General features: G+C 39.1%; 1 protein-coding gene across 21 annotated transcripts in view; it reads left to right on the top strand.

Annotated features, from left to right (window-relative positions):
* MYO3A (myosin IIIA) overlaps positions 1–24,135 on the top strand; it is a 278,304-nt gene that overhangs the window by 232,533 nt on the left and 21,636 nt on the right. For 14 of the 21 annotated variants that reach the window (XM_011519498.3, XM_011519500.3, NM_017433.5 and 11 more), the window contains 4 exons: positions 1,951–2,113; positions 3,655–3,778; positions 6,902–7,796; positions 9,940–10,084. In XM_011519498.3, coding sequence (XP_011517800.1) covers positions 1,951–2,113; positions 3,655–3,778; positions 6,902–7,796; positions 9,940–10,084 — 1,327 coding nt within the window. Of the gene's footprint in view, positions 1–1,950; positions 2,114–3,654; positions 3,779–6,901; positions 7,797–8,780; positions 9,318–9,939; positions 10,085–24,135 lie in introns of those variants that run through there. The other 7 variants (XR_930494.1, XM_011519505.2, XM_047425360.1 and 4 more) reach the window with 3 other exon arrangements.

The raw sequence follows: 24,135 nt of genomic DNA on the forward strand, positions 1-24,135 counted from the left end.
ACCTGCTTCTATCATAAACTTGAAATTTTTCTGGAGTAAAATATTCACCACTATTACTAGACTCGCTATATGTATTGGACATTGATGTGTTTATATATTAGCTTGCAGAACCTGTGAGATCTTAGCTTATTTAATCCCTTAGAGAACAAAGTAAAAAGCATAACCAATCTTGAACATGGAAGAAAGAGAGGTCACTGTTTGGAGAAAGGATGTATTGGTCTTCTCAGGTATTCTCATAGCATTACGAGACAGGGATCAGGAAATAAACAGGGTTCCATTGTGCACTGAATATATCTTAAGGGGATATGAAATGTATCACGGGGAGGATGAGGAAAAGAGCCAAGCTAAAGCCAAGAGATACTCATAGATTGACCACTCAAGAATACCTACTATCAGCCACACCACAGAAGTAAACCAAAACAAACTCCCATATTTGCAAAGAAATTTATAATATTTGTGTCTTGGGTGTAGGAGATGTGGGAGAGAATTTTAATAATGTTTGGATGAGAAACTATCCCTGTAACAATTTAAGAGATTTAAAAAAAAAGCCACCTTAAACTGAGTGTCCTGTGTATTCAGTAATCCATATTTACTTTAGTAAGGGGATATTTTGGGCATTAAAAATGAGTATTTTATTCACACCATTTTCTCTTAGATTATAAATTTCAAAATGATCAATTTTATCAGGCTAAAATCTCATGATTTATGGTCTGAAACACATGCCTAACTTCAAATGGAGTTTTAACTTGTAAAAAGGCCTTTTGCAGTTATAGTTCTGCATGATATTTAAGTAGCATTTTAAAGCTATTTGTATTCTTCCACTTCACCTTTTCCAACTCATTAACATGGATAGAAAGTATTAATATAGGAACATTTCTAATGTCATGCAAAAAGAAATGATGACCTTTTTAAACAGATTGAATTTTAAATGAATTGTCAACAGCAGAATGGACTAAATGTATTAACATCTAGAGTCCTGTAGAAATTAAAACTGAATTAAATCAAACCTGTAACACAAACGTGTTTACCCATGGTGCCAAGCTTTTAAGTAATGGAACACTGAGAGAATTCTACAGTCAGGGTTATCAGGTCTCATGACTCAGCCATAAAATTTGAATGTAAGTGACTTTCTTGAAGGATTCAATAAACTCTTTGAGATGAGTTTTATTAGGAAATTTAGCCATTAAAAGGAAAACAAACAAAAAACAAGCTTTTCATTTCCTTGGAGGAGGGGAGAGAAATGTTAGATGAGAACACGCCAAGCCTTCTGGCTCCTCCCTTGCTCCAATTGATGTTGATTTTAGAATAATCAAAAGTCAGCCCTCCCTTCTCCATGGCAGCCTTTGGGTCCAGTGAGAACCTTGTTAATGAAATCTGCCTGGGGCCTTCTCTTGGCCTTATTCTCTTCACTGACAACAATACCAGCCCCAAAGGACAGTGACCTGCCTTGTTCATCTCTGTATCCCCAGCAGATACGTACCTGTAACAGGTCTCAATAACATTAATAAACATTAGATGAATTAACTAACGGAACTATAATTCTGTCCTCTACTTTATAATAAGATCTATTCAGATTTTTTTAATTTGGGAAATATAGTTGCCTTTAAAAAATAAAAAGCATAAAAATTAGCTTAGCCCAGAATATACGATGCTAGAAACTTTGCTAAAAGAGCTCAACATCCTCCACTCTTATTGTCTCATCCAACAAAACCTAGTTACCTGTTGTAAATAAACAGCATGGTTGTCACCTTCTGCATTTCTTCTCAAAGAAATGTTTTCTTCAAGCATAAAAATCTGTACTGTCATAGTGACATCTAGGGCAAAGAAGCAAAAGACAGTGATTTCCAAAATCTCAAGCAATTTAGAATGTGTTCTGTTCTTCAAAGCACAGCACATAACTGCTTCACATCTGTGTGCCATGGTTCTTTGTATTATATTTTAATTTTTCAGGTGTTCCTTAAGTATTATCACGTGGAGCAGTTAAATCTAATGCGAAAGGAAGCTATTGACAAGCTTATTTTGATTCAAGCTTGTGTCAGAGCATTCTTGTGTTCAAGAAGATACCAAAAAATACAGGAGAAAAGGAAAGAAAGCGCTATAATAATACAGTCAGGTAATCTCTTTGACATATTTAGATATGGTCATAAAATCAAATCTTATAATACTTCTTACAGGCAAACCTCCAATTCTTGTGTAGCTTTTGTGTTTAATTCCAGACTGTGTTGCCTTGATACTTTTGCTATATTAAATCTAAGTCAAATTGTTTTAGTGATTGACACTTTTAATATTTGGATAAACGTTTTGTCTTAAATAATTTAATTTTTAACTTTTCTGTCAAGAATTAATGGAACACAATTGACCTATTGTGGAAGATATAGCAAATAATTAATTATAGATCTCAAGAATCATATTATTATAGCTCATTGGACAATAAGAATTTTTTCTACTTTATTCCAAAGGTTACACTTGCCATAATTTTTGACAACTTAAATCTTATTTTGTTAAAGGGCATCCATTTATTTCTGTTAACTGTAGAGAAATAATATTTATAACCATACTTTACTTCACATACTTTTATTAAGCTGTATTAATAGACTTTGGATTTTGCTTTCTATTTTTCCATAAGAAATGAAATTTAGATAGAGCTTGTCACAGCCTAGTATGCTCTCTTTCAAATTTTTTTGACTGGATACTTAGAGAAAAAAAATGTATTTTGCTTTTTAACCTATACACACACACACTACAAGCACTGTGTTCTGATCTTTTTAATTCTAGTCTATTCCATTTCATTTTTAGATGCTAGATTTGGCCTACTACATCAATTTTATGATCCACTAATGGTTTGCAGCCTGCATTCTGAAGAACACTAATATCGTGGGCAGAGGAGCTGACTGACATTCAAGAGATTAACATTCCAATCCCCGTTCTGTCAATCAGCAATGAGTCATCCTCATCTCTTTTTGTATTTTAAGCCCTTAACTTCTCACTGAGAAATCAAAATGCAAACTCAGTAATTTGGGCTCTAATCCTTTATCCACAATTTCAAAATTTATAAAGCTCTGATAAAAAGGTTCTTCATAGAGCCTTTGGCAGTAAAACATAGCAATGTGATGTGAAGTTATTTACAGTTCTTTACTCCCCCAACTTAGTAAAAATATTCTGTTTTTCTGAAGAAATAGTCATTGATTATTGGGCGCTGCCCTGACACAGGGAATGTTACAGAATATATATTTGCTCTGTATTAACTTTCTAAAACTTAAAAAAAATTAATCTGAATTCTCAAATATACAATCTGATCATCTGAAATGTATCTGGCCAAAATATATGAAACACATAGCAAAAAAATGAAAATGATTATTACTGAATTTTAAGCAAATGAGCACACTTTGTCATCAACTTTGCTCATCTCTATCATTTTGATTTCATTTTAGTATTCTTCTTAGTATGAAAGTTACTTTAGTTATTGTTGCTATAGCTTGCCATGTAGAAGAATCTTGTTAATGAATCACATTTTTAAGTGAACCTGTTCTATTTGGCATTTTAATTTTATTTTCCTCTTTGACATCAATGGTCAAAGCCACCATTTCTACTCTTTAAAGTAAATTTCTTTTATTTGTTTATAATTAACACTACTATGGGCTTTCTGTGTTTCAGCTGCAAGAGGACACCTTGTCAGGAAACAAAGAAAAGAAATTGTTGACATGAAAAACACAGCAGTAACAACCATTCAAACTTCTGATCAGGAATTCGACTACAAGAAAAACTTTGAAAATACAAGGTATAATGATGTTCATTCTTATACCGTTGTAACATATAGATTTTTCAGATCTGTAAGGTCATAGAATAATGTTCACAGCCTTTCTTGTACTAGTCAGGTTCCTGATACTGACACATCAAATGTCAGTGAACACCCAGAGGCTACTTTTGTGTTCTCTATCCTATTTTGGAGTTATTTCTCAAATGTTTTCTTCCTTGGCTTCTACCAGATTGCTTTCTATAATTCTACTTCTAATTCTGAGTGTCCTTTGCTAATATGTCCTCCAATCCCCACATTTAAATCCTCATCCATATCTAAATGTATCCCTGGGCCCTCTCATTCATTCCAGTGGCTTTAATAGCCAATATGCCATTGGCCCCTATGTCATAATCACCAGCTGCTCTTTCTTCTTGTGAGCCCTCATGTCTGTACTTCCAAGTGCATGTTAGCAAACCACTTATTCACTTATTCAGCAGGCTTTATGCTGGGCAGTGGGGACACAGATACGTGAAGCAAAATCCTTATCCTCAAATTTCTCAGAGTATTACAGAAAAAACAGGACAGACAAACACATCCCTCTTGTAAAATGTGTTAACTCTGCTATAAAAATAGGCAAAGGGTACACTGGGGGCAAGGAGGAGGGAACCCTGCCTTGGTTGGTAGTGGTTAGGGAAAGGGAAAAATATCTACATTTTGCCCAAGTGGTGAAACTTGAATTTATCAAACTGAGTACATGGTCATCCAGAGAGATAAAGATCATTCCAGCCCCAACCCTAGTCCCCTTGTTTTTAACATCAAGTCTGGCCATAGAAAGGGTGAAGGAATGAAATAGAAGAAGAGGTGGCTTCCTAGCTTCCTTCTTTCCCCACACACCCACATCTAACGTTCTCTTCACCCACCGCTATTCTCTCCTGCCAATAGTGGTCTCACAGATGATCTCATAGATGACTTCTCTGCCACCTCTTCCCCTCACCTTCACCCACACATTCCCTGAATCCCTCAGGCCAACCTCATTTCCTTATTTGAAAAACAGGAATGTTTATTTGAAGTTTAGATACATTTGGTGTTTTCAGTTTTTGTGTATTCTGAGACCTATATATATGCTCTCTGTCTTTGCTTGTGAGGATCCAAATGATTTGTTTCTCTTTGTTACTGGCGATAAAACAGTCCAGCAAACTTCCAGACATCACAGGCCTGCCTCAGGAGCAGGAGGCTGGATGATACCTGTGACTTCTGTACTTCAGTCTGGAGGCTGAGAGAAATATAAACTGGCTGCAAATCGAAGAAAGATGGACTAATTGTACTACTTCTAGAAATTACTGCTTGTAGATATCACATCTAATAAGGAAGTGTGATGTTCAATTACATACCCATTTGCTACCACCTTTCTTCTGAGGATACCAGGGATTAGCTTTCAATGTAGCAGATACTTATTAAGAATCTACTGCACACAAGATCCACTTCAGGGCACATGAGTGTGAGTAAGAAGCTATCACTGTGGTCTGGGATGGAGAATTTGACATTGATTGGGCTAACTCTCATGGGAGGTGGATGACAAAGTCAGACATGAAAGAAGTAGAGGCAGAAAGTCAAGGGAAGCTTGTAGAGAGGAAAGTTAGGGAAGGGAGAAGCAGGTGGGCCTGACCACTGCCAGAGATCTGCGGGCCAGCACTCCCTCCCTCCTCCACTTCTGACTTTCCTTTTCCCTCAGCTACCTGAAGCGCTTGTTTTCACTTAACCATTCCCTGTCAGAGCCCCTGAACTGTGACCTAGAATACCACAGCGGGGAGCTGGAGAAAGGCCCAGGCCGGCAGGGCTCTCCAGCAGATGTCAGAAGAGATCGCCAGTCCTCCCCACGCTGGAGCTCTGAAGGGTTGATCCTCAGAAGCACCCATCATTGCACATGTTCCCCAGCCAGCCGCAACACAGAGTAGAGTTGCCTGAGCCCAGACATGTAACTGATGTGGGAATTTCAGCAGTGTGTACAAGTCTTCACCAGTGAAATGCATTTAAAGGATCAAAACTAACTTATAAATGGATTTTTCGGAACGTAATCAGTTAGGGACTGCACGCTTATCTTCTTAGTTGTATTTTGAATAAATGTAAGCATTCTTAGAGAGGTCAGTACTATGGAGGAATTCAAAATACTAGTGTAGCGATTCATCAAAATCATGGGCATCTGATGCCCTACCTAGTTTTTTGACTGATCCTAGCAGGATTCTGCTATGCCTCCTGTACTAGCCTGGGGATACCACAGTAATTCTAGTCCTAGGAAGTGGCCAGTAGAATTAGAAAAATGGAATCCCGGTAGCTTTTTCCAGATTTGACTCAAAGAAGAGTCCGACTTCACAAACAGATCACAGAAGACCTAAACTCTCACATGGGTTTCTGGGCTAAGATGAAAAGTTTGGTGCAAAAGCCCTCCAAGTAGCAACGAGAGGTGTTAGCATATCAAGGTGTCATGGTATGACATTTTCATTCCATCTTAACTTTTTTCTTGGCTGTATTGCTCTTGTAAGGGTTTTGCCTTTGGCTAGAAAAAAAAAAAAAGATGCAGAGAAAACCTTATCTTCAAGTGAAGGGGAAATCATTTTGGAAGGATATTAGCAAAGTAGCAACTGTGAAATTTTGGCCACCGTATTACATGATCATGAACTGTAGCGAGGACATTGCTTTTCCTTTAATTTTATAAGATACTTCCTCTGATCAGTAAACTTAGTGCTTATTAAAGTACAGTATGTCAGCCAAGTGAACATACCCTGCTTACTGGTATCAAACTTAGGTATATTTTTCACAGCATCTCACTACTAAAGGTACTTTGTTTTGAAAAGGATATATTTTGAAAGGATTAAGTTCCTAGAATTTTGATATCTCATTAAATGAAAAGATGGTTCTTCATATGCTAGGATATTTCTCACTCCGAGTTGAATCTGGTTTTCTCATTATTTGAGTAGTTATCACAGTTGTCACCAGAGAGAACATTCTGGAAAGCACTTGATTAATGTGACTTGATACTTTTTAATTTTGAGCTTTCTTTGTTCCTTTTGCCTTTCTCCCACCGGTATCTAGCATATAACTATTGCCAATAGAAGTAATAAGCTCCAGTTTAGTACTGTATATTCAAAGATAATATATTTTACACAGGGAATCTTTCGTGAAGAAACAAGCAGAAAATGCAATCTCTGCTAATGAAAGATTCATTTCAGCTCCAAATAATAAAGGAAGTGTATCTGTAGTGAAGACTTCCACTTTCAAACCTGAAGAGGAAACCACCAATGCTGTGGAGAGTAACAACAGAGTGTATCAGACTCCAAAAAAAATGAATAATGTGTATGAGGAAGAGGTTAAGCAAGAATTCTACCTTGTAGGGCCAGAAGTAAGCCCCAAACAGAAGTCTGTCAAAGACCTGGAAGAGAACAGCAATCTAAGGAAAGTGGAGAAAGAGGAAGCTATGATCCAGAGTTACTATCAGAGGTACACAGAGGAGAGGAATTGTGAAGAGTCAAAAGCAGCATATCTAGAAAGGAAGGCCATATCAGAAAGGCCAAGCTACCCAGTGCCTTGGTTAGCTGAAAATGAGACTTCCTTTAAAAAAACTTTGGAACCTACACTTAGCCAAAGGTCAATTTATCAAAATGCAAACAGCATGGAAAAAGAAAAGAAGACATCTGTAGTTACCCAGCGTGCACCGATATGCAGCCAGGAGGAAGGCAGAGGCCGTCTGAGGCATGAGACAGTCAAAGAGAGGCAAGTTGAACCAGTGACACAGGCCCAGGAGGAAGAAGATAAAGCAGCGGTATTCATTCAGAGCAAATACCGGGGTTACAAGAGAAGGCAGCAGTTGAGGAAGGACAAGATGTCTTCTTTTAAGCATCAGAGGATTGTCACAACACCAACAGAAGTAGCAAGAAACACTCATAATTTGTATTCCTATCCCACAAAACATGAGGAAATCAATAACATCAAGAAGAAGGATAACAAAGACTCGAAAGCAACTTCAGAAAGAGAAGCATGTGGTTTGGCAATTTTTTCAAAACAGGTATGTGAATAAATAAATTTATTTACTAATAAAAGTCCCTGGGAACTATACAATAACTGAATTAAACACATAATTAATAACTGGTAGATTGTTTTATCTGCGTTGATGGGCCCGCAAACATTTTTAATAAAATGTCTCAGGGATTGTGCTATTCAAATAGCCAGGAACTTTTAACCCAATTTACCGTGGTAACAATAGTATAAAATATGATAGAAACCTCATGTAGTCGTGATACTAGAGATTGGTTTATACAGCTTACTAAAATGCTGAGGCTCGACAGTGAAAAGTTTGATGTATCTTTAATTAGATCTTTAATTAGAGCTAAAAAAAAAAGTCGTTTTAAGTTTTCTAAATCCTCCAAAGTTTATGCTTTCTCCCTTTCACAAATTTGAGAAGACATAATTAGGTATCAGATTTTGATAGGTAGCCACACCGAAGCATATACAGTGAAGATGAAAGTCTGCATGTCACATCATGACAGTGAATGAACAGTCATGGAAAATAAGGAATCACAAAGAAAAAACGCAGAGAAAAGTTCCCTCCTGGAGAATATCTCATGCCAATCATAGGTGTGTTTCAGCTGTTTCTAGAGAGGAGCATAGGAAGCAACAGGTTTTAGGGCTTCTCATGGGTATACATGCAATTTGTCTCTGATACATACAATTTATCTCTGATACATACAATTTATCTCCTATAAATTGGTGCTATGGAAAGATCGCAAGAACCGGCTTCTGTAAATACCAATTCCACTTCCTCCTTTCTCTTTCTAGGCATTTAACCTTCATAAAATCACTTTATGTGTTAGCACTGTTATTTTCTCCAGTGTGAAATGAAGAGTTTTAACTGGATGATCTCTAAAATACATGAATTTCCAGGGTAATCAATGGTGTATGAAGTAATAAAAGAAATATCATAATGGGTTAGTTCCAAGAAAGACTATCTAATATTCCTGAGTCCCTAAACTCCCCTTTTTGTATTTGACAGTGGCTGAGCCTATGAGAAACACGATAACTGCACTTGGACCCTTCCTTAGTGCGAGAGGTGTGGCCCAGACATCTCCAACTTCTAGCTGTCAGTAGAGATCTGCCATTTTTAATTTACCCATCCCCTTCCTACTCTTCTTAAGCATGTGGAAATAGTGAGCTTAACGAACATACAGTTCTTCTCACTCCAAAGACCAAATCAGGGATTAGAACTCAGACCTGCTATGCCGTGGAGACATGAGATGTAGAATTACCAAGGCATCCACTAGGAGCTGGCCAGTAATGCCATGGAGTAAATTCACTGCTCCATGGAACAAAGCTAGAGGCTGTCCCAGCAGGAGCCTCACACTCAACCCAGCAGGACAGCCGTGTTCTCAGAGCCAGGATGCGGACACGATAGAGGCGGGGGGCAGAATGGAAAGAGAAACCAGAATAGAGCAGCCCTGAAATCAGGGTAAAAGACTGGAAAGAAGGCCGGGCGCGGTGGCTCAAGCCTGTAATCCCAGAACTTTGGTAGGCTGAGGCGGGCGGATCACGAGGTCAGGAGATCGAGACCATCCTGGCTAACGTGGTGAAACCCTGTCTCTACTAAAAATACAAAAAATCAGCCGGGCGTGGTGGCAGGCACCTGTAGTCCCAGCTACTCTGGAGGCTGAGGCAGGAGAATGGCGTGAACCCGGGAGGCGGAGCTTGCAGTGAGCGGAGATCGCACCACTGCACTCCAGCCTGGGCGACAGAGCGAGACTCCGTCTCAAAAAAAAAAAAAAAGACTGGAAAGAAAAGGAAGGAGGTTTACACAATCAAAGGCAGCAGAGGGGTCCTCAGGACAGAAGCAGAAAGGCAAACACAGCAGAGTGGCGAGGCTGGAAGCCGGATCTCAGAAACCTGGGAAGGAGTCGATCAGAACAGAATTCTGCATGTAGCATGACGTGCTTGGCAGTTTTAAAGAAAAATGTGAGATGGCAAGTATTCAGAGCACAAGGGGGGAAGGTTGTCAGGTGAGAACTTTATCAGACCTTGGTGCAAGGGACAGGGTGGGCCCTGGAGAGGAACATGAGAGTCCCCAAGAGTGCTGGTAAGGCGTTTCCCAGCCCCCGGTGCCTGCAGAACTCTCTGTATTCTTTTCCTTGATTTAACCTGACACATGACCTTCTTTTTAGATATCAAAGTTATCTGAAGAATATTTCATTCTGCAGAAAAAATTGAATGAAATGATTTTGTCACAGCAACTGAAGTCACTTTATCTGGGTGTCTCGCACCATAAGCCAATTAATAGACGAGTTTCTTCTCAGCAGTGCCTCTCAGGTAAAAATCAGTAGAGTTAGAACTTCCTGAATGGGAAGGAAATGCCAGATACTTTGTTTATTAGTTTCCCACCATTATTCTATGGCAGATTTGAGGAGCCTGTGTCCTGTCTTAGGAGAACCTTTATTTCATTTCTTATATGGAGATACAGTTTTTTTAGGATGTTCTACCCACTTTCTACCTTCTCTGACTTAATTCCCCTCCATTTAGTATGTTTTCCTTTTTTCATTTTAACTAGAACTTGGCATATGACGCCACAAGGGAATAAAAGGGGTTGGTATAGAGAGGGGGGCTGGCAGGAGGCAGATTTGATAAGAGAGCGCAAAAATAGAAATAGAAATATTTCTATTTCCTTTGTCAACATCTGCAACCTTGAGTATAGAGTGTGGAAGGTGCAAAACCCCATTATACAAGAAGTATTGTTATTGAACTTTTTTCTAGTCAACCTATTATACTAAACTGGTGAGGAATTCAATCTCAATAATTTTCAGACCTCCCTCTCCCCAGAGCTGTGCAAAGGTTATATGGCCTTGCACACCACCAAAAGATCAGGTACACCCTGTAGTCTCTGGTCATTTGCCCATGAAGTTACTGTTGGGACACTCATGGCTCCAGCTGGCCTCCATGAGCCCTTCAGGTTGGGAGGTCTGGCTGCTCCCACACCCTGCAGGTGGCACCTAGACTGTGGAGGTCTGGAGCCTCATATTATCCATGCCCACTCCAGGTAGCCATTCTCTCTGCAGTCTTATGACCTCCCCCAGGAGCTGTCACGGTAAAGTTCAGGAGTCCCACGACTTTGAACCCTGCTGACCTCTGCCCAGAAGAATCTGCATTTATTTTCCCTTGCTTTCTTGGAGGCCCTCCGCAATCTCACTGCCCCGTTCAGGGATCCCTGACATCATCTCTGCAATGAGTTTGGCTGTTACCAAAGACAGGAGGAGCCACTGACCTCATGCAACTTCTAATTTCTTCCCTGAAAAAATCTCTGAGGCAGAAATATACTAAGATGCACTTGGCTATTTGCCTGATATGAGAGGAAGGGGAAATACCTTAATGTTTTCATCAATTATTCTGCCACATCGTTTTCAAGTCAAGAATTGCAGTGAAGCTGACCACAAATGGCTCTTTGGTGCCCTTCATTCCTGCTGCTCTCCTGCTCTCTGGCCCTGGCTGAGAGCCTCCTGCTGTGAAGAAGAGAGACTAGCAAGTCAGAGCCCAGAGGCCCATTCATTTGGCTGCTGCAATGGCCTGTGCCCAGGAGGCATGCTGGCAGGGTAGGAGCTGAGGGAAGGCCAGGGCTTCAGGTTCCCTCATGGTCACAGAAGTGGCAGCACTGGTGAGTGTGGGGCAGAGAGGAGCAGGTGGTGTGGGGAAGCAAGGAAGCCAGGCAGCTCACCCCAGGCCGCTGCTGGAAAGGAGAGGTACAAATGGGAGGCAGCGTCCTGGGAGGAAGTAGAGGTCGCCACCAAGATTTTCACTTTTGAACATCTCAGGTCAGGAGTTCAAGACCAGCCTGACCAATATGGTGAAACCCCTTCTCTACTAAAAATACAAAAATTAGCTGGGCCTGGTGGCAGGTGCCCATAATACCAGCTACTCTGGAGGCTGAGGCAAGTAGAATTACTTGAACCTGGGAGGTGGAAGTTGCAGTGAGCCGAAATCGTGCCACTGCACTCCAGCCTGGGTGACAGAGCGAGACTCTGTCTCAAAAAAAAAAAAAGCAAAAAGAAGAAAAAGAACAACAACAACAAGGGACAACTTTACCCAGGTGTGGGATTTCATAACATCTAAATCTTCTGATTTTCCTGAAGAAAATATACATAAAATGATTATTCATCTGTTTTCAAAAGGGAACTCAGACAGTCTGAAGACAGTAGGAATTATATTAACTGAACACTTCAGCTTTAATACAGCTAATAACTCTGCTTGCCTTCTGCTTTAAATGTTTATTTATTTATTTATTTATTTATTTTTGAGACAGAGTCTTGCTCTGTCACCCAGGCTGTAGTGCAGTGGCGCGATCTCGACTCACTGCAAGCTCCGCCTCCCAGGTTCTCACCATTCTCCTGCCTCAGCCTCCCTAGTAGCTGGGGCTCCAGGCGCCAGCCACCACGCCGGGCTAATTTTTTATATTTTTAGTAGAGATGGGGTTTCACCATGTTAGCCAGGGTGGTCTCGATCCGACCCTGTGATCCGCCCGCCTTGGCCTCCCAAAGTGCTGGGATTACACCGTGCCCAGCCTAATTTTTTTTTTTTTTTTTTTTTTTTTTGAGACGGAGTTTCACTCTTGTTGTCCAGGCTGGAGTGCAATGGCGCGATCTCAGCTTGCTGGAACCTCTGCCTCCTGGGTTCAAGTGATTCTCCTGCCTCAGCCTCCCCAGTAGCTGGGATTACAGGCGACCACCACCATGCCCAGCTAATTTTTGTATTTTTTTTTATTAGAGACTGGGTTTTACCATGTTGGCCAGGCTGACCTCAAACTCCTGACGTTAAGTGATCTGCCCACCTTTACCTCCCAAAGTGCTGGGATTACAGGCTTGAGCCACTGCACCTGACCTAATTTTTCTTAAATGTATGCATAGTTCACATATATTTCAGTGTTGGTCTCTGTTGAGAAGTTTGGTAATGTTTTTGTGACCAAAAATATACCATAAGAAGTTAACTCTTGTTTATATCAGTCTATTGTAAAATTGGTCATTTCGCTTAAAGTTGCAGTTTCTAAGAACCCATTGACATTGTCAAGTGAGAACTTACTGTATGATGATGTGGCTGTTCAAAGAATTACCTCCAACAAAGGTTCCAAGAACTCCTAGTGTTTTATGCAAACACATTCAAACATTCATGGAACAGATAAATCTCATTGTATGTGATTTGTTTGAGAAAAAAAGAAAGAAAAATATACGAAGTTACCTATTTTATGATGTTCATCTGTCCTAGAACAAAAGTCTAACAATAACATTTTTTAAAAACTATTGTTCAATCTCAATTATTAATTAATTAATTTTTGAGACAGAGTCTCACTCTTTCACCCAGGCTGGAGTGCAGTGGCACGACCTCGGCTCACTGCCACCTCTGCCTGCTGGGTTCAAGTGATTCTCATGCCTCAGCCTCCCGAGTAGCTGGGACTACAAACGTGCGGCACCACGCCTGGCTACTTTTTTGTATTTTTAGTAGAGATGGGGTTTCACCATGTTGGCCAGGCTGGTCTTGAACTCCTGACCTCAGGTGATCCACCTGCCTCAGCCTCCCAAAGTGCTGGGATTACAAGTGTGAGCCACCGCGCCTGGCCTCAATTATTAATTTAGAGATAAAATTCCTGAGTATAGTATTTAATACTAGCCAATGGAATGCAATAGTACATTAAAAGACTGTCCACATAATACATATTAATATAACATATCAAAAGATCAAAAAAACTATCTTGATAAATGCTGAAACAGTTTTCAGTAAAATCCAACACTCTGTACTGATGAAATGTAAAACTCTTACTAAACCAAAAGCAGAAGGATATTCTTTAACAATATGAAGAATACGTTTCTTAATTCAATCATCTACCTCATAATTAACTATAAAACACTGGAAGCAGTTGCATTAAAAAGGAGGATGAAGATAAAGATACTAGTAACACCACATTTTTATGTTATTGGGAAATTTCCAGTTAATGCAATAAGACAGCAAAGAGAAGCTTTTTCAAAAAGCATAACTATCAAAAGGGAACAGATGGGATTGTAGGACTATTAGCAGACAACATTAAAAATGCAATGATTGATGCTAGGAATAGAATTCAGTAAGGATGTATAGTTATATAGATAGATATTCTTTCCTATAAAAATTTCTAATAGAAAAAGAGCCCATTGGAAATAATAGCAAAAAAAAAAAATCAATACCTTGAAATAAAGCTAGCAACCAAACCTGAAAGAGACAAAAAAGAAGAGATGCATAATGGAATGATACATTGTGTTTCTGAATTGAAAGATAAAATACGGTAAACATGACCATTCTAAAATTACTTTCTAGGTTTAAAAAAATTGCATTCAAAATCTCTATGAGATTTTCTTTGGAATTTAAGAAAATATCCCTAAGGATCATTTGTAAATTTCAGAGAAAAAAAGAATAACTATAAATGAGGACTTATTCATTAGATAGTAAAATGAATAATGCTATAATAATTAAAATCATATGTCCCCTTTACAAAAATCAATCACAGATTAATGAAACAGAATAGCCCTAAAATTGACCTGAGTATTTATAAAAACCTGTCATTTACAAAAAGATACATACGAACAGAAAAGAAATGGATGGATAATGCTTAAAATGTCTCTGATTTGGGATGAGGAAATAAAATATTCTTATCTTCTGCTGAATGCCCAGTTATTTTCCAGATGCACTGATCATTTAAATGTAAGAAATAAACAAACCAAATGAAGCCAGATGCTATGAACTGAGCATTTCACAATCTCTGCTTAGAAAGGACAAACTATAAGAAGTAATAAAAGGAATTACAAAGAAAAACTGTGATAGATTTGGATTACATGAATGTTAAAACCTTCTAGAGATTCCAAAGCATGATTAAAAGTTAAAGAGCTGAAGACAAAATATTTGGAACAAATGTAAAAAGAGTTAAACTGTTTAGCGTAGAAAGAGCTCTTTATAAATCATTCGGAAAAATAGCACTCTCAATGGAAAAATGGCACAAGCCATTAATTTATTTACAAAAGAAGAAATACAGATGGAAAATAAGCATATATATGACCACTCTAGGAGTAAAAAAAATAAAAAGTCAAACCCACTACTATTCTTTACTCATCAAAATTGCAAGTATGAAAAAATATTTTAACAGTAATAACAAAGTGCTAATGTAATTATTCCCAAACATATGGTAAGATGGCAGTGTCAACATTTTGAAAAGTGACTTGGCAATATGTCCAAAAAAAAAAAAAAACCCCACTGAATTAGTTTATATCATTGACCCAGTAAACTCACTTATGAGAGCATAGCCTAAGGAAACAATCAGAGCTGAAAAAAAAATTGTGTATATGGTAAGAAAAAAAATTGAACAATAGGAGAATGATTAATAAGTAATGACACATTCACATATGGAATATTAACAGCCCTTTAAATTCATTTTTCAAAGAATAGCCTTAGCAAACTGCTAGCTAATCTAACCACTGAATAAAATATTGCAGAATTGGAATTGTAATACTGTAAGTAATTCAGCTTAATCTTCACATACGCGAGGTGGTTCATTAACAACAAGAGCCCCTAAGTCTAGGGTTCTAGAAGAGTTGAGTGACTAGTTAGTGAGAACAAGATGGTCATCTCCAGTATAGCGGATACTCTCCATCCCTCGCTAACTTCACTTCTATATAAAATTAAGAATCTGAATAATATTATTGCAACCTGGTAGAGGACTTCCACAGCCACATGTGGTAAGACTAGAGTGTCATCTCCAGATCTGTCACCTTTGCTGCCATGCTGTCTCAAGCCACTAAAAGTTTCTTTGATACTCCTCCAGCCAGCTTGTGATCAGATGTGCTCTAATAAAGAATAATCACTTTTTAAAAATACTGGTATATTTCAGCTCATCTTGATAGGAACCAAAAACCCTTTTATCTATGTGTTATGAAGTATGAGCGGAGGGAAAGAAAAAAACAAATGTTGTGTGTTTAAAGTCAGAGAATGTTCTTCAATTCTGTATTTTTAACAGGCCAATCTAAGAAAATGACTATGAACAGTCAATAAATAATTTTTTTAAGTTTGGCTCTCTGGGAAAAATTATTCCAAGTTTTCACCTCAGGCTATGTATATAAATTTTTTAAATAAATGAATACCCACTTCATTTTGAAAAATAGCCAAGATGTAATTAGATGCCACCTCTGAGTTTTCCTTATTCTCCAAGCAAATAAACATGTATTTTGGTTGTTTGGCTGTATCCATAGTTGGTGGGCAGTCATACACAGAAGACGTGCTCACAGTGTTCCGCATAACAGCTCATTCTCCCCAACAAAGACCTCACTCTCAGGGCACCCTTGGTATCACCATGTGCATTCGCATGTGCTTCTGTTGTGGCGCCCTGTTTTGATGACTGCTCACATATAAGCGAGATGACCAGGCAGGTGTGTGTGTAATCTAACTCCTTGGACTAGAACAAAACGAACTGGCTTTTGAGGACTGTAATCCATGCGAGATGACAGCCCAAGGAAAATGACAGAAGTGGAGTGCCAAGATGTAGCGATAATGTGCAAGAGACAAGCGACAGTCCAGAGGGTGTATCTGTGGGTCTCACCCCCCACACAGGCTGCTTTATCCTCCTGCTTCTCCTGCCACAACTAGGAGAGACATGTGGGGCAGGAACCTTACCTGAACCTACCAGTATTGTTAAAAAACTAAATGTTTCGGCTGGGCGTGGTGGCTCACGCCTGTAATCCCAGCACTTTGGGAGGCCGAGGCCGGCGGATCACGAGGTCAGGAGATCGAGACCATCCTGGCTAACAAGGTGAAACCCGTCTCTACTAAAAATACAAAAAATTAGCCGGGCTTGGTGGCGGGCGCCTATAGTCCCAGCTACTCAGGAGGCTGAGGCAGGAGAATGGTGTGAACCCGGGAGGCGGAGCTTGCAGTGAGCCAAGATTGCGCCACTGCACTCCAGCCTGGGCAACAGAGTGAGACTTCGTCTCAAAAAAAATAATAATAAAAAATAAAAAATAAATAAAACTAAAAGTCGTTTTCAAGGATCTGGGTATTAATTCAAAGTACCCAAATCAGAGAGCGGCCAAAAGCTACAAGCCCATGACCTATAGGATGGGTAGAGGTGGAAGCTATCCCTGGGGCATCGGCATTCAGTTGGCAGGAAGAGAAAGGCCACGGGAGTGGTTGTGCAGTTCAGAATGGGGCTGGGGGTGGCAGTTGCCTCTTGAGAAGGTCAGAGAAGACTGCGAGTCAGATCCCCTAAATAGTAACACATCCCCTAAGTTCTAGGGACACTCAGAGCAGGACAAGCACGTACCCTTAGCTTTTCACCTCAAATAAACTCAAGAGAACAGAGATATCCCAGAGTAGACGCAAGAGGTCAAATCCAGGGCAAGCATGAGAATTAAGGGTACGAAGGCTCAGGCCTGTAATCCCAGCTACTCGGAAGGCTGAGGTGAGAGGGTTAGAGCCCCGGAATTCGAGACCAGCCTGGGCAACATAACAAGACCCCATCTCTTAATAAAAAGAGAGAGAGAATTGAACATGTCCGTCGGTGCTAAAGGAAGGAGGCCATGCAAGGCAGAGAGGACTCCTTTGGAACTGTCCTGTCCATAAGCTCAGAACTGTGTGCAGCTCTCTTTAAGTCTAGAACCAGTGCCAAAACAGCCAGCCTGGCCAAGGGCAGATGAGGTGACTGGTGGAAATGGCAGCTTCCAGAAGGCAGGTTGCAACCATGACTAGAGTGAGTCTGCCTTTAACATGCAGCAATGAAAATTCCTCTCCTAAGATTTCCCATAGATCACTCTATTGCTTGAAGGTCATAGACTCTTAGGAGGAAATGGAAATTTACAAAAACTGAAAAGTTGATTTATTAAGGAAAAAATTACAGTAACAAGTGCATTTCTGTTCTGCTAATATTTGATTTAGACATGTGATATTTCTGCAAATTATACTCTGCATGTATACTTAAGTAAAACAGTGTAATTATCATTAAAATGAGACTAATACTGAAATTTAATTTTCTAAATCAATTTTCCCTGGCAATGAGTTTTAAATCTATCTTCTTTCTTCTGAATGCAAAAAAGCGGGGATGTTAGGTGATTCATTATCCAAAAAAAGTGCATTTCTGACAAACCAAAACACTTAATGACATTATTACCACAACTGCAACGTAAATAAATATCTTACCTTCTGGCTACTGAATACAGCAATAACCTTTACAAGCTAATATTTACCACGCACAACCCACAAAATAGCCACAAACCTTATTATGCTAGTACCCACATTGATATGCTGCTGATAATTTGTGATTATAAATGTTTATGTCACTTTTGTAATTAAGGGGTTAGGATGAGGTTAGTAGAGAGTGTTTATATTTTTCCAAAGGAGCAAAAATTCACAGATCCATTAGAGGCCAAATAAATGTATGCCTCTCTGAAATATTTGTATGCTGATAAGCTCATGGGAAGTTTGCTCTTTAAAAAAATATTCTGAAGGAATTTAAGCAGAGCAATCATAGTCTGTTGAATGCAATACATTCATCATAATTTTCATTCACTGGCTGGCCACCTTGCATTGCAATATCTTAAGTGAGACACCCCTTAAGACTAGTCAGCCCTCTGGCTTTAGATTATCCTGGTGAAGAAACAATGTCAAGAAGCTAACACTAAAGCAGATTAGATTTTCAGAAATTCTGAAAATTCAATGCATTTTGATTTTTAGATCTCCATGATACACTAACATGCATATTTATGATTTTACATCAATGCTACCATACCATACATTCCAGGATTCTTTTTTTTTTTTTTTTTTTTTTTTTTTTGAGATGGAGTCTTGCTCTGGTACCCAGATGGGAGTGCAGTGGCACAATCTCAGGTCACTGCAACCTCTGCCCCCCAGGTTCAAGTGATCCTTCTGCCTCAGCCTCCCTAGTAGCTGGGATTACAGGCGTGTGCCACCATGCCCGGCTAAATTTTGTATTTTTAGTAGAGATGGAGTTTCACCATGTTGGCCAGACTGGTCTCGAACTCCTGGCCTCAAGTAATACACCCGCCTCGGCCTCCCAAAGTGCTGGAATTACAGGTGTGAGCCACCGCACACAGCCCATTCCAGGATTATTATTTAATGTAGTGTTTTGTTTTCTTTTTCTCTTTTTTTTCTGTTTGCTCCCCTCTGTTCCTTTTCTCAACCCACATTACTCACCCCCAACCAAGGGAACTAGTATTATAGAAAATGTAATTTTTCATATTTTTTGCAGATGTGCATACATGTAGGTGTATATATATAACAGAGATTTTCATCATTGTTTTATATAAATAGGATCATAATATGATCATAATATAAACACTTAAGCAACTTGCTTTTCTCAATACCTTTGCAGGAATCCCTGCATATCAACTAGTATAGCTGTAATTTATTCTTTTCAATGGCTGCATAATCCTCTATTTGTGAATCACAATAATTACATAACCTTTTCCCTATTGTTAGATATTCTCTTTGTTTCCATTTTTTGCTACCATGAAAAATGTTGCAGTAAATATCATTGAAAATGTACTTGTGTACTGGAATTTTAATATTATGGGACAAATCCCCAGTGATGAAGTTACTGAGTTACAAGATGTTTTTGGTTTTAATAGATTGGTTTCCTAAAAGGCTCTAGAAATTAACATTTCCTTCAACAATTTGGGAGCATACACTTGTCCTGACATCCTGTCCATCAGTGATATCCTTCTTTTTTTTTTTTTTTTTTTAGATGGAGTCTTGCTGTGTCACCCAGGCTGGAGTGCATTGACGTGATCTCAGCTCACTGCAAGCTCTTCCTCCCGGGTTCACACCATTCTCCTGCCTCAGCCTCCTGAGTAGCTGAGACTACAGGCGCCTGCCACCACACCCGGCTAATTTTTTGTATTTTTAGTAGAGATGGTGTTTCACCGTGTTAGCCAGGATGGTCTCGATCTCCTGACCTCGTGATCTGCCCACCTCGGCCTCCCAAAGTGCTGGGATTACAGGTGTGAGCCACTGCGCCCAGCCAATATTCTTCTTTTTAATCTTTGCTAATGTGTAGCAAAGTAAATGGCATCTTGTTTTAATTTATATTCCCTTATCTGCTAGTAAATTCAGGTGCCTTCCCATGCTTATTTGCTTTTTGGATTTGTGCATCTTGAATTTTCTACTGGAATCTTGCTCACTTTTCATTGGTCTATATTTTTGGTAGTCATTTGTTAGCACTCTTTGCATATTAAAAATATGAACCCTTTATTTATATCTGTGTTGTAAATATAGCCTTCCAAGTCTATCATGTGTCTTTTGACTTTGTTGCCAAATAAAGGTTTTTGCCTATATTTAATAGGCAAATATGTCTTATCTTTTTTATGACTTCTGAATCTTGATAAAAATATTCACACCCCTAGATTGTTCATGAATTATCCCAGATTTTCTTCCAAGAGCTTTATTACTTATTTTATTTACATTTATCTTTAAAGCATGAGAAATTTATTTTTATATGTGATGACAATAGTGATCCAGTTCACAGAAGTATATGAATATCTACTATTCACTTAGCACTACATCTCTAAGCTGAAATGAAATCACAGTCTTTGCATCTCCAAACACTACCACATGTAGATCACCAATGAAATGACACAAAGACATCAAAACCTAAGTCATGATCCCCACCATCTAGAGACTTCGAGTTCCACTATTTAAAAAAAAAAATTCACAGTGAAAAATAGTAAGCGGCAAGAATATGGGATTAGGTTCTATGTTAGTTTTCCAGGGCTGCCATAACAAAGTACCATAGACTGAGTGATTTAAACAGCAGAAACTTACTTTCTCACAGTTCTGGAGGCTAGAAGTTCAAGATCAAGGTGTCAGCAAGGTTGTTTTCCTCTGAGGCCTTTTTCCTTGCCTTTAGATGGTCATCTTCTCATGGTCTTCTATTTGTGTGTGTCTGTCTTTTTTTTATTATTATTATACTCTAAATTTTAGGGTACATGTGCACAACGTGCAGGTTTGTTACATATATATACATGTGCCATGTTGGTGTGCTGCACCCATTAACTTGTCATTTAACATTAGGTATATCTCCTAATGCTATCCCTCCCCCCTCCCCCCACCCCACAACAGGCACCGATGTGTGATGTTCCCCTTCCTGTGTCCATGTGTTCTCATTGTTCAATTCCCACCTGTGAGTGAGAACATGCAGTGTTTGGTTTTTTGTCCTTGCAATAGTTCACTGAGAATGATGGTTTCCACCTTCATCCATGTCCCTACAAAGGATATGAACTCATCATTTTTTGTGGCTGCATAGTATTCCATGGTGTATATGTGCCACATTTTCTTAGTCCAGTCTATCATTGTTGGACATTTGGGTTGGTTCCAAGTCTTTGCTATTGTGAATAGTGCCACAATAAACATATGTGTGCATGTGTCTTTATAGCAGCATGATTTATAATCCTTTGAGTATATACCCAGTAATGGGATGGCTGGGTCAAATGGTATTTCTAGTTCTAGATCCCTGAGGATTCGCCACACTGACTTCCACAATGGTTGAACTAGTTTACAGTCCCACCAACAGTGTAAAAGTGTTCCTATTTCTCCACATCCTCTCCAGCACCTGTTGTTTCCTGACTTTTTAATGATCGCCATTCTAACTGGCGTGAGGTGGTATCTCATTGTGGTTTTGATTTGCATTTCTCTGATGGCCAGTGATGATGAGCATTTTTTCATGTGTTTTTTGGCTGCATAAATGTCTTCTTTTGAGAAGTGTCTGTTCATATCCTTCGCCCACTTTTTGATGGGGTTGTTTGTTTTTTTCTTGTAAATTTGTTTGAGTTCACTGTAGATTCTAGATATTAGCCCTTTGTCAGATGAGTAGATTGCAAAAATTTTCTCCCATTCTGTAGGTTGCCTATTCACTCTGATGGTAGTTTCTTTGGCTGTGCAGAAGCTCTTTAGTTTAATTAGATCCCATTTGTCAATTTTGGCTTTTGTTGCCATTGCTTTTGGTGTTTTAGTCATGAATTCCTTGCCCATGTAAGGAATGGTATTGCCTAGGTTTTCTTCTAGGGTTTTTATGGTTTTAGGTCTAACATTTAAATCTCTAATCCATCTTGAATTAATTTTAGTATAAGGTGTAATGAAGGGATCCAGTTTCAGCTTTCTACATATGGCTAGCCAGTTTTCCCAGCACCATTTATTAAATAGGGAATCATTTCCCCCATTTCTTGTTTTTGTCAGGTTTGTCAAAGATCAGATAGTTGTAGATAAGTGGCATTATTTCTGAGGGCTCTGTTCTGTTCCATTGGTCTATATCTCTGTTTTGGTATCAGTACCATGCTGTTTTGGTTACTGCAGCCTTGTAGTATAGTTTGAAGCCAGGTAGCATGATGCCTCCAGCTTTGTTCTTTTGGCTTAGGATTGACTTGGCAATGTGGGCTCTTTTTTGGTTCCATATGAACTTTAAAGTTGTTTTTTCCAATTCTGTGAAGAAAGTCATTGGTAGCTTGATGGGGATGGCATTGAATCTATAAACAAACCACTGCTCAATGAAATAAAAGAGGATACAAACAAATGGAAGAACATTTCATGCTCATGGGTAGGAAGAATCAATATTGTGAAAATGGCCATACTGCCCAAGGTAATTTATGGATTCAATGTGTGTGTCTGTCTTAATCTGCTCTTTTAAGGACAGCAGTCACATTAGATTAGGACCCACTTTAATGACATCATTTTAGCTTAATTACCTCGCTAAAGACCCTATCTCCAAATACAGTCACATTCTGAGCTACTGGAGGTTAAGATTTCAACATGTGAATTTTGAGGTGACACAATTCAGCCTGTAACAGGTTTAAAATGGCTTGTGCAACTAGCAAGTACCATTTATGCTCAATGAAAGAGAGATCACTGGGGAGTCAGTGAAAGCTTCATGAAAGAGATAGGATTGAAGGTGGACATTGAACAAGCTTAAGATTTCAGTGAGGCTATGAAAAGCTTTTCTATGAGAAGGTGAGAAAAAGCAAAGTTACACCTATAAACATCGTCTCTCAGGGCTTCAGTGAGATAACTGGACTGACAAGAGGAGAAAGTCCATTTGGGGGGAAATGGGAGATAAAACTGAAATTGCTAAGATTGTAAATAACCTGGAGTCAGAAGTTTAACTTGATGAAGAAAGAAAAAAGAGGCATCATCATAAATTTTTGAAACTTGAAATTTCACAATTAAAGTGGTATTTAAGAAAGGAAAATCTGGGCCAGGTGTGGTGGCTCACGCCTGTAATCCCAGCACTTTGGGAGGCTGAGGCGAGATCACCTGAGGTCAAGAGTTCGAGACCAGGCTGGCTAACATGCTGAAACCCCATCTCTACTAAAAATATAAAAATTATCTGGGCGCAGTGGCAAGCACCTGTAATCCCAGCTCCTTGGGAGAATGAGGCAGGAGAATAGCTTGAACCAGGGAGGCAGAGGTTGCAGTGAGCCAAAATTGCACCATTGCACTCCAGCCTGGGAGACAGAGCAAGACTCCATCTCAAAAAATAAAAATAAAAATAAAAGGAAAAAGAAAGGAAAATCTGGTTTTCATTTGTGAGATAAAGCATAGAAACCATATTAAGACTCTACCACAGTTATTAAATGAGTCGTTTCATCCAGAGTGATTGCAATGGCAAATGAGACTAGGTGGTGGATGAATATTAGATATTTCAAAGGATGTGTCAAAACAATGGACAGAAGTTAATGATTGCTTGTCTGTAGGAAATGAAGAAGAGGCACACGGCAAAGGTGTTATCATTGTTTTCAACCTGGGAAGCAGAAATAATGCTGCCATTGAGGTTGTAGTGTACAGAATGTTAGATGGAGAAGAATGATGACTGCGGGTTCATTTGAGTCTGAGAGAGAAGTATTCAGTAAGGAGTAAGAAATTAGGGCAGGAGCTCCTATGGGATGGGAGGGTCAAACCTGAGGTGTGCATTAGGAACACCAGAAATTGCCAGGACCTGAGGAGAGGATGATTCAATCCAGGAGGCAAGGGGAAGATCACTTAGTCATCTTAAGCACTTACTATGTGTCAAGTATTTCTATAAGTACTGGGAATACAAAGAAAAATAAGATAAGTCATCTACCTTCAGAAACTTTATCCTGAGTCATGAAGACAAGGGGTGTTTAATAATGCTTAATGATGAAGGGTCAGAGACAACAGGGACAGATAAAGGACCTTTGGATTTGTTGGTGAAATGCACCCTTCACCTTCTATTTGACATTAATTTTAATGTCAAAAACTGCAATTCCCTTTGCACCAACCTAATAGAAAGCATTTTCAATAGACAAATCAGATTGAATGGGGGAATATTTGATGAAAAAATGAAC

This window comes from Homo sapiens, chromosome 10 (assembly GCF_000001405.40).
Source record: "Homo sapiens chromosome 10, GRCh38.p14 Primary Assembly".
Lineage (NCBI taxonomy): Eukaryota > Metazoa > Chordata > Mammalia > Primates > Hominidae > Homo > Homo sapiens.